Source organism: Homo sapiens, chromosome 1 (assembly GCF_000001405.40).
Source record: "Homo sapiens chromosome 1, GRCh38.p14 Primary Assembly".
Classification (NCBI taxonomy): Eukaryota; Metazoa; Chordata; class Mammalia; order Primates; family Hominidae; genus Homo; species Homo sapiens.
The window spans coordinates 18,041,847-18,053,020 of NC_000001.11; the positions used below are offsets into that span (position 1 = coordinate 18,041,847).

The 11,174-nt window shown below is 49.6% G+C and overlaps 1 long non-coding RNA gene across 1 annotated transcript; it reads left to right on the top strand.

Moving 5' to 3' along the window:
* Positions 1–1,907: 1,907 nt before the first annotated feature.
* LOC105376812 (uncharacterized) lies at positions 1,908–10,529 on the top strand. The gene is made up of 3 exons (XR_947008.3): positions 1,908–2,709; positions 3,039–3,389; positions 10,385–10,529. It is a non-coding gene; the product is annotated as an uncharacterized LOC105376812 (long non-coding RNA).
* Positions 10,530–11,174: the final 645 nt, after the last annotated feature.

Genomic DNA, 11,174 nt, shown 5'->3' on the forward strand with positions numbered 1-11,174 from the left:
CTGGGAATAGAGAGGGGCCTGGACACCGCCACCTCCTGGTGCACTGAATGTACCCAGGCTTGCTTCAAAACCAGCCACCTGGCTCCCACTCTCAGCAGTAAGTCCCCCCTCCCTCACAACCACAATCTTTTTCCTGGGTGTTTTTTTTGTTTTTTCTTTCTGTGGCTCTGGCCTTCTCTCCCTGAAAATACAGTTTGCTGATATTAAAAACACACACACACAATCACAAACACATTTTATATAGTCTTTGAAGTCTACTGGCCTCAGGCTCCTGGACTGATAAGTATGCAGATAGAGCGCAGACCAGAGCTGGGAAGACAGTACCCTGTGCAGGCGGAGGCAGGGGCCCCCGCGGGGGTGGGAAGGGACAGAGACGCCAATGGGTCCCAGAGGCAGGGCGTCCCACCCTGTTCATCTAAGCCTGAAGGAGAAAATCGGATCAGGTTGGGGAAGGGGGGATGAAGCCCGTCAGGGCTGCTGCTCCTGGGCTCTCCAAAATGAGGTCTGCTCTCAGAGGCTGGGCCATCAGGGGTTCCCTCTTTTTTTTTTTTTTTTTTTTTTTTTAGACAGAGTCTCGCTCTGTCGCCCAGGCTGGAGTGCAATGGCGTGATCTCGGCTCACTGCAACCTTTGCCTCCCGGGTTCACGCCATTCTCCTGCCTCAGCCTCCTGAGTAGCTGGGACTACAGGCGCCCGCCACCAAGCCCTGCTAATTTTTTTTTTATATTTTTAGTAGAAACTGCGTTCACCATGTTACCCAGGATGGTCTTGATCTCCTGACCTAGTGATCCATCTGCCTCGGCCTCCCAAAGTGCTGGGATTACAGGCGTGAGCCACCGCGCCTGGCCCATCAGGGATTCCCTCTCAAAACAGGGAGGGGAAAAGGATGTTTCATGTGCCCCAAGGCCTCAGAGGGCATCTTCGTGCCCAGGAAAAAGATTAAGATGGGGAATTGTTGAGGTTCTGGGGTCAGTGTAGTTCTAGAAAAGAGGCACGTTTATAAATTGTGGCAGGCAGGGTAAAGAGGAGGGTACAGAACAGTAACCTCTGTCAGCCCCTTCAAAGCTGCTACAAAGCTGCCTGGATAAGGACACCGCCCACCAGATACTCAGCAGAATCACTGGGGCAGTGATGCCCTCCTGGCACAGCAGCAGACGCCCAGCTCTTTGTAAACCCAGGGAAGGAAGGTGCCACCTTAAGGGAACTCCCAGGTTGATGAGCACAGGGCTGCAGGGAGAACCCAGACATTAGGACCTGATGGCCTGATGAGGTGGTGGAGGACAGAGCCCATGACCTCCTAGGTACTGAGAGCTCCCAGGCTGAGGAGAAAGCTCCAGCTCTTGTTTCACAGGGAAGTCCCCAGTGAAATAGGGGAAGGAGGACCTACATAAGCACAGGAAGCTCCGACGCAGAAGTCCTCTTCACTCTCAATTCTGCAGTCACCAAACCTGGCACCTCTTACCCATCCCCAGACTTGTGCCAAGGGGTCTCGCAGAGGAGCCTTCCCTACTTTCAATGCTTACTGTGTTGCTTTCAAAGCTTGGTCCCCGCATCTAGTCTGAATTCTCTGACTGCCTTGGGTCCCTCAGAAAGAGACATCTGACCCCACTTCACTTCCACTTAACCTGCACTGTCCCATCCATCCCCATCACCCCTCTCCCCAATTCCACCCCACCCATCTGTACCACCCATCCCTGCAGCTTCTCAGCTCCCTAGTGTCCTCACCTTTGTACATGGCTTCCAGCAATGGAACCCCTGTTTGTGAGCTCATCACTTGTCGAGGGCTGGGCTCCTGATCTCATCAGCTTCATCTCTCAGCTCCTAACACAGTGCCCAGCCACTATGTTTATCTCACATTAGCTACATGGCCCATGTATGTTATCTCATCAATACATAGGAGACCAAGGCTCTGAGAAGCCTGACAACTCGCTCCCCCATCACCCGGGGAATTCTTGTCATCCCTTACGTCACAGCCTAAATGTCCCTTCCTTGGGGAAACTCTCTCTGACATCCCCCACCGCACCCCATCCTCCCCACTCCAATGCAGCATCTTGTGCATCTCTGTAGCACTAATCACAGTGGCATTTAATGAGTTGTTTCTGCAATGGTTTGCTCTCTCCCCACTCATGCATATGCTCCTCAAGGGATGGCAACATGTCTCTATTGTTTACCACCCTGTCCTGAATGCAGGGGCCCTGACTCAGAGAAGACTCCGGGTAATTATTTACCATTTGAAGAATGAATGGCTTCCTAAGTTTGTGCACCTAGAGCTCTCTGGCCTTCAGCTGCTTCATCTGTAAGTAGGCGGAGCCTTAGGTCCCCAGGACTAGCTCACTCTTAAGATGACTTCTCATTCTTAGGTCCTAGAAAATGCTTTTTAAAATTCCATCTTCCTTTCCCAAATGGAAACAACAATGTCATACCAATCAGGTTGGAAAAAAAATGAGAAATTTGGATAATGCCATGTGCTGAGTACCAGTGTCCTCGAAGAAACCTGTCAGTATTCAGGGAAATGAAGTACTGCACGCCTTCTGACCCCACCATCCCACTCCTGGGGAGACTCCGGGGAAACACTCACGTGGTCCCAGTGGGTCACCCACATGGTGGGGCATCGGAGGCAATCTAGTGTCCACCCCTGGAACAGCGGACATCTCTAGAGAAACTCTGCAGCAGTCAGAAACATCGAATGAGATAATGCACAGCAACTCAGGTAGATCTTAAAAACATGGTGTTAAGTGAAAAAATTAAGCAACAGAATGAGATCTATAGCCCAATACAATTTATGTAAATTAAAACACATTCGCACAATAAACAACACCATATATTTTATAGGCACCATCCGTATCTGAGGACATATATTAGAGATTTTAGAGTGGAGCTACAGAGGGGGCAGTCAGGAGGGGCCAGGCAATAGCATCAGGGAGAAGGAGAAAAATCGAACAAAGCAAAACAAGAGTGAGGCTGTGTGAGATCAGGATGTTAATGGATGGTGAGTTGAACGTTGTGTTGGACTTGGACTAATCCAACTCTCTTTTCAAGGTGAATGTAATGACTGATTAACGAACGAAGACTCCACCTTCTCTTCCTCTCGTGGATCCCAGCGAACTTCCAGGGCATGGGTTGGCATAGGTTTGAAGAAGGTTTCTCGGCCTCTGCACTGTCTACATTTTGGGCCCGCTGAGTCTTTGTAGTTGGGGCTGGCCTGTGCATTGTAGGATGTTTAGCAGTTTCCCTGGTGTCCACCTACCAGATGCCAGTTGCACCTACCAAGTTCTGACACCCAAAATGTCTTCAGACATCGCCAAATGTCCCCTGGGGGACAAAAATCACCCCTGGTTGAGAACCACTGGGTTGGAATACAAGCCTGAAAAACCGCTCCCAGTCTGCCAGGTAAGTGACCCACACTTGCTTTACAAAACCCCATGCACGGAGCAACAGAACCTTGGGACCTGGGACTAAGCTTGTAGCTCCGTGTTGAAAGCCTGCAGCGTCACTTGCATTTTAAATCAAGGCTCGGTGGAGATTCCAGTTACAGCCTGCAACTGCATCTGCCTTGGGCTTCCTCCTAATTTTAACCAGCAGCTGGATTTGCATAGGACATTTGCATCTGAAATTACCCATGATTCTTTGGGAGCCATAGTCTACAGCAGATGATGGCAAAAAATATATATAATTCCATTTCAGCTTGCAAAGTAGGGGGGAGGAAGGAGATGAAGACTTCAGGGAGGGAGGGTACTTTAAGAAAATTTCAGTGCTTTATATAATTGGTTAGAGAGGTTGGAAATAGATGCCCTGCTGGTCACTGGCAGAGAGAACTGTCCTGGCAATTCGTATGTGAATTAATGACTCAAAGAGTGAATGCATGAGGTCCCCTGAGACTCCCCCAGGAGCGAGCTACTGACCCAAGTGGAGGCAGGCAGAGGAGAGGGAAGGATGGTGCAGACCTGTGTACAGAACAGCACACAGCCCAGCCCCAGGCCTCCAGGAGCCCAGCCACCCGCTAGCACTGGCCGGCCCGGGAGCCTGCCACATGCCCGAGAGCACTCACTAAGTGCCTTCCCACCGTGGGCCATTTCATCACACAGCCCCACCCCTCTTGATGAAGGCATCGTTCCCCTCATTTAGAAGAGGAGGAGGTGGAGATTCCCAAGTCTCACTCTCAGTAAAGAGCAGAGCCTGAATTGGAAGGAAATTCTGCCAGACTCTAAAACCAGTGCTCCTTCCACTAAGACCCTCAGTGGGTCATTTGCTGACTTGCAAAGTTAATATACAGGCAAAAGCATGGCAGGTCATGCCAACAGGAGCAGACGACCCCTCCTTTACAGTTCAGCAGTTTCTGCTCAACCCAAGATTTGGCCAGGCCTGGGTTCCAGAATGTAAAAGCAGACATCTGCAAGCCATGCCCTAAATTCCAGGTGAGGTGTGTCTGTGCCACATGGGCTAAGGCTTAACTGGCACCTTCCTGGTTGCCATCTGCAGACACCAAGGTTAACCACACCCTCCACTTGCTGCCCCAGGGCCTTGCAGTCCTCTGTGATTGCATTACTTATTCTTTCTACATCTCTCTCCCCTACTAGACCGTAACATCTTGGGGGCAGAGATCATGACCGGCTCATCTATGTCTCTATCCCAGAGCTCCAGAAATATATGTGCTATAAACTGAGCTAATTTGGGGCTGGGAGCAGGAGACTAACCAATCTGTGTCATTCCAGTTGAAATGCTATCTTGTCCAGGAATAGTTTCTTGATTTTCCCAGGAGGAAGTACATCTTAGGTGAGACCTTCCCCTAAGCCATGGGTAGCAGAAGCACTTTCCACCTTGTGCACTTGATCCCCTTGAATATGCTGAAGACTCCTCAAAGGAAAGGGTCTTGCCCAATTGTTTTTGCATTTTCAGTGCCTAGAACAGGGTTTTGCATAGAGGAAATAGAACATGAATGGATAGATGGATGGATGGATGGATGGATGGATGGATGGATAGATGGATAAATAGTTGATGAAAAAGTAAGAAGGCAGGCAGATGGTTGGATAGGCATTTGGTTGAGTGGTGATTTAGTAGTTAAGTGGATAGACAGATAGATGGATTTATGGATGAATTGGAAGATAGACAGATGGATGGATGGAACAAGGGTTTGATGTCTGCGTGTTTGGATGTGAGAGAGTGAGCAGGCCAAAGATGATTGGATGGGTGGGTGCAAGGTTGAGTGGGTAGGTTGATGGTTTGGACGGTGAGTTAAGTGTATATTGGGTGGGTGGTGAAGATCTGGATGGGTAGATCCATGTGGTATAATAGAGTGGCTGGCTGGTGTGGTAATGGTTGCATAAAGACACAAAGTGTCTTTTCACCTTCCAATGTTATGCTCAGACTCCTAAGTAAAACACTTCCTTTGTACTCCTTTTTTCCATATCCTACTTTTAAGTCCTCCTTCCTCTCCCACTCTCTTCCATCCTCCTAAGCAGGAGCTCTAGGATGCCAGATGGAAGCTTCCCAGGGAGTTCAGCTCCAGTCCCTGCCTGTGTGCTAAGCACTCCACATTGTGCAGAGATTTAATACTTAACTCCAGCCTCTCCCCACTCCTTACCTGCCTGAGGAGGTAGAGGCAGCGATTTGCATATTTATTAAATATCTCTTAGCAGGATCCACAAGCCGCATTGCTACATCCCGCTCCCAGAGCCTTCCTGCTGGCAGACAAGACCGTGTGCCATCAGCACTGCATCACGGCCTGTTAAATAGCTGTTCCAGGGCCCAGGAGGCTCGGAGGGAGCCAGGGGCCATGGGGAGGGTGGGGAAGGCAGAGGCCATGCAGCCAAGGAGGGCCTAGAGGCCTGGCATGTGGCTGTCTCACACTTGCTTAATAGTGGGGGCTTCTGTCCATGGCCCAGGCAGAAAGGGCTCTGGGGGCATCTGTTTCAGACCCCTGCCTCCATGTGGGCACCCTGGAAATCAACCCTTCCCTTAGAAAATTCCCAGAGGAGGACATTTTGAAGGATCTTTATTTTGAGTTTCTTCTGCTGCTTGGCTTATTTGGAAATTCTACCTAGTGTCTGAACAGAAGTGTGCCTGCCTTTGCACAAGCCCCATTCTGGTAGGCTGTCTTAGGTCGAAAGGGAAAACAAACATTCATAAGCATGGCTGGGGTGTCCTCCCCAAGGCAGAGTCATCCTATAAGGTCTGGCCCTAGATCTAAATCTCCAGGGCCTTGGGCATCAATCAGTCCCTCTTCTGTCTAGAAAGGCGCTCTCGAGGGTAGAAACTGGGTGTCTTTCTGGGGACCAGGAGCTCTCTGCACTAAACTGGGATGAACCTCTTCCGCTGGGCTCCCTGACTCTTCTTCCTGTCTCCTCTCACAGTTCCTAGATCAGGGTTCAAATCCAAGAATATAGTATGTAGAGTCAAACTATCCAGATGCTAATCTCTGCCCCACCTCTTACTAGCTGGGTGGCCTTAGGTAAGCAATAGAACCTCTCAGCCTCAGTTTTGTCATCTGTAAAATGCAGATGATGACAACACCCACCTCCTGAGGTTATTATGCAGAGTAAGTACAATGAAGGGCTTTCGGGCTTAGCATAGTACCTGGTTCTGATGTAGACATTGAGAAGATGTTGTTTGTTATTGCTACAGGCTCCCAGAAAGTTCTAGGTGCAAAGTGCGGCTGGCGGCCCACCTGCCTTTCCTAGGGCGTGAGAAAGAGTGGAGAGGTTCCTACCTATTCTGTCTGCTGACTGTGCTGAGCATGTATCCTCACAACAACCCTGCACAGTAATTACTTCAAACACTCCTATTTTATACATGCAAAAACTCAGTCCCGGGGTAGAAGGGAAATGCATGAGACCACATGAGTTGGGAACCCACATGTCTCTTTATCTCTTCCCAGACAAGTTATGAGGGATCCCCTGCCCCAGGAACAGCCTAAGATCTCAAGAAGAGGAAGAGGAAACCCACAAACAAACAGCTTTTCCAGCTTCATCTGCCCCCACCTCCCCCAGCCCTGGACTGGTGGGATCCAGAAGGAAGGGCCCAAACTGGAGCCTCATAAACCTTCCCAAAAGCCCTCATAAACACCAGGCCTGGCCGGTGCCATGTCTGGTGCTGCAAAAAGCAAAATCTCTGGTTGTAAAGTAATCCTCATAAAAAAAGGAGAGAAAAGAAAAAAACCTATGTGATAAATACAGTAATGACCTCTAGGAAACAAGGAAAAGGAGCCCAAGTTCCTAAGACTGCAAAGGGAAGCGGGGTTTCAGCCCCAGCAGACACCACCCAAAAGGTACCAAGCTCAGGGAGCCTGGTGGCCCAAGCCAGGAGAGTGGCTGGGGGTGGCTGGGAGTGGAAAATGGAAATGAAGAATAGAGCTGCTGCTGCTGCTGCTGGTGATGGAGATGGTGATGGTGATGGTGATGGTGATGCTGGTGCTGATGGTGATAATAATGGTGATGGTGATGGTGATAGTGATGCTGCTGCTGATATTGATAATGATGGTGATGATGGTGATGCTGGTGATGGTAATAGTGGTGATGGTGATGATAATGGTAATGATAATCCTGGTGCTGCTGATAGTGATGGTGATGCTGGTAATAGTGATGGTGGTGGTGATGGTGATGGTGATGGTGATGCTGCTGGGCTGGTGGTGATAGTGATGGTGCTGATGATGGTGATGCTAGTGATAGTGATGGTGATGGCGATGATGATGCTGATGGTGGTGGTGATGCTGGTGATGGTGGTGATGGTGATGGTGCTGATGATGCTGGTGATGGTGATGGTGCTGGTAGTGTGGTGGTGGTGATGGTGGTGATGCTGGTGTTATTGGTGGTGGTGGTAATGGTGTTATTGGTGGTGGTGTTATTGGTGGTGGTGGTAGTGGTGGTGGTGTTATTGGTGGTGGTGGTAGTGGTGGTGGTGGTAGTGGTGTTATTGGTGGTGGTGGTAGTGGTGGTGGTGTTATTGGTGGTGGTGGTAGTGGTGGTGGTGGTAGTGGTGTTATTGGTGGTGGTGGTAGTGGTGGTGATATTATTGGTAGTGGTGATGGTGTTATTGGTGGTGGTGGTGGTGTTATTGGTGGTGGTGGTGATATTATTGGTAGTGGTGATGGTGTTATTGGTGGTGGTGGTGGTGTTATTGGTGGTGGTATTATTGGTGGTGGTGGTGGTGTTATTGGTGGTATTATTCCAGCCTTCTTTCTGTCCCCAGACTCACTTCCAATCTTAGCTTCTTCTTTCCAACCCTGAAAATGCAAGAACTTCCACAAATGCAGACTCTTCACAGTGGGCTGATTTCTTTAAGGAACTGGGATAAAAATAACAATGTGAGTAACCATACTGTGAGCAGGTGCTGTTTATTGAGTGGTTACTGTGTGCCTGATGCTGCACCAGTGACCCTCTCAAATGGTCTCATGTCATCCAACCAGGAGCCACCACCATCCCCTCCCATTCCCAGGTAAAGACAGACCCAGAGGGGCACAGCGACTCTCCCGAGCCCACAGAGGAGCAGGGCTCTGGCTGAGCAGCATCTTCTGTCTTAACTCACAGAAGGATTCTGCTGCCTCGAGTCGTTGGGTGGTGTTGGGCAAGTCACTTTCCCTTTATGGGCCTCAGTTTCCTCATCTGTAAGATGAAGTACCAGTGCCTGCAGGGCCTGGGGTGTGACAAAGGCCATGCTCCAGTTAAGCTTTGCTGACCGGGCTGAGGTTGAGAGCTCATGTGACCTGCCTGGAGAGGGTTAGGTGCAGAAGCCCTGAGGGCTGCATGGACTGGCCTAGGGGGCTGGGTCCTCTCCTCACGGGATGCCTGTATACATGCGAGGACCTATGTGATACACAGGGATGAGCATGTGGGTGCACGGATGTAGCATGTACATCCATCCCAACACTTGGAGGTGCAGAGATAATCGGCTTCAGTGTCGCTCCATTGTGGAGAGAACAAGGGGTTAGCGAGGCTGACCAGAAAGCCCCTGAGACCTGGATAGCATTGCCACCAGCTGGGTCCCTGGGCTCCTCAGGGGGTCTGAGAAGGGCAGAGGCAGACCGATGACAGAACCAGGGGCTCAGAACCCAGCAAATGCGGCCCCAGGCTCTGCAGATGGAGCAACTGAGGTCAAGAGCAAAGTGGGGCCTCTGACTTCCAGCCCAGTCCTGCCAGAGCCCCCAACCCCTCAGTGGCTCTAGTAATAGTAGTAATAAAAATCATACTACCCCTAATCATTATGGTAATAATAGCTACCGTGATTGAGCCCTTTCTCTGTGCCAGACACCTGCTTGATGTCTTACAAACATGATCTCATTCACCCCCATGACAGCCCCCTGGGGAGGGAATCATTTTGCCAGCCTCCCTGTAAAGGCGGGAAACATGGGCTCCAAGATTTGCCCTAGCTCACCCGGCTGTGGGTGGCAGGGCTGGTTTCGCCCCTGGGTCTGACTCCAGCCCATACTCTTTTTAAGGCACTGGACAAACTCATACAGGACCTGTTCTGACTGATTCTCTGATGATTCTGTGTCCCTCTCAAGCTTAGCACAGACCTGGGCACATTTTGGTGGGGGTCACTGTGTGAGCTGGAGTTGGACAGGCCTGGGCTCAAATCCTGATGCCCTGTAAATGACAGGATGCCTATATACATGCGAGGACCTATGTGATATGCAGGGATGCTCATGTGGATGCACGGATGTAGTATGTAGTTATTTGGTTGATTAAGAGGTTGGTGCAGTGCCCCCACGCATCCCCCACAAGGGTAAACATTGTCTAATTTCTCCAGGCCTGGGGATCCCTCACAATTAGGTATAAACCCATTTGTATTTCAGAGCCTTCCTGCATGCATGCCTGGAATCTCCATTTCCTCTGCCTGAAATCTCTGCTATTTTCCCACCTGGTCGTTTTCTGCTCATTCTCTCAGACAGTTCTCCAGGAAGCCTCACCTGATTCCCTAGGCTGAGTTAGACATACCCCCACTTCCTTTGCTGGCCCCATAGCACCTTTAACATCTCTCTCTTCCTGGTAATTGCCAATTACATGTCTGTCTAGAGTACTGTGAGGTTCCTGAGGGCAGGGAAGGTGTCATATTTGTCTCATGTCCCCAACACTGTGCTGCACTTAGAAGGTGCTCCGAAATGGCTGCAGAGTGAATGAACAAATAAGCAGATGAATGAATCAACAAATGAATGAGTGATGGGAGAACCAGCGCAAGCTGCCCTCCTATCCTGCCTTATTCTGGGTCAGAGACATGGATGGTAGGATCCCTCTCCCGTCCCTACTCCTTCCCCTAACACACCCCCATCAACCACCATAACCCACCTCCTCTCAGCATTTAAATTTGCCTGTCATCTTTGCCTATGATGCTGCCAAATCTGCCTCCTTCCCACCCCCCCCCTTTCTTCTTCTTTGTTTTGGTCCTGCATCTAGAAGGTCAAGACCACAGTGACCTCTGGACTCCAGCCCCTGGCTAAGAATGCAATCTACCTGTCCATGGGCCAGTGTGACTCAAGATGTCAAGGGATGGTGATCACTGAGAGACCAAAGATTTCCTCTGAATTTGCCTGGATTTTCACACTTGATTGTTCACTGTCAAAAGGAAGAACAGGTGTACCTACAGCAACCTGGCTGCAGAAATCTACATTCTCCTTATTCTGAGAAACCCCTCAAAATACTACCACCAAAGTAGAAACCAAATTTATCCTGAATTGACATGTACCCCCTAACCCCAGCCCAACTCCATACTCCTCTCTGTCAAGGAAGCAAAATCAATTTCCTTTGCTTTAGATACCAGCATGTAGGCTTGTGGACTTCCAAATGCTGTCTTCCAAGAACTTGGAGTTTAAACATGATCCCTTGGATGATATGTCCAAAGAAGTTCTCACTGAAATTCCCCGCATCGTAAAATGTCAGGATGTCTGCGGTCTTTATTTATAGACAGATTGCTTTTCAACTTTTCTCACTCCAACATTTCAATGTGTTATTCCTGAAGATAAATGCACATTATGATTTCATAATAGAAATTGCATTTCTCCCTTGTGTCACCTCTAAGCATGTATATACATAAATATGGCACATTGCCTCCGACAGTAATTTAAAAGGCACTTTGGAGAACATATTGATCATGACCAGAGAACGGAGCTGGCACGGTCTAGATTTCATCGAATCTGCCTCCTCCCCACCCCCGCTCTCTTTCCTCTTCTTTGTTTGGACTCTGAAG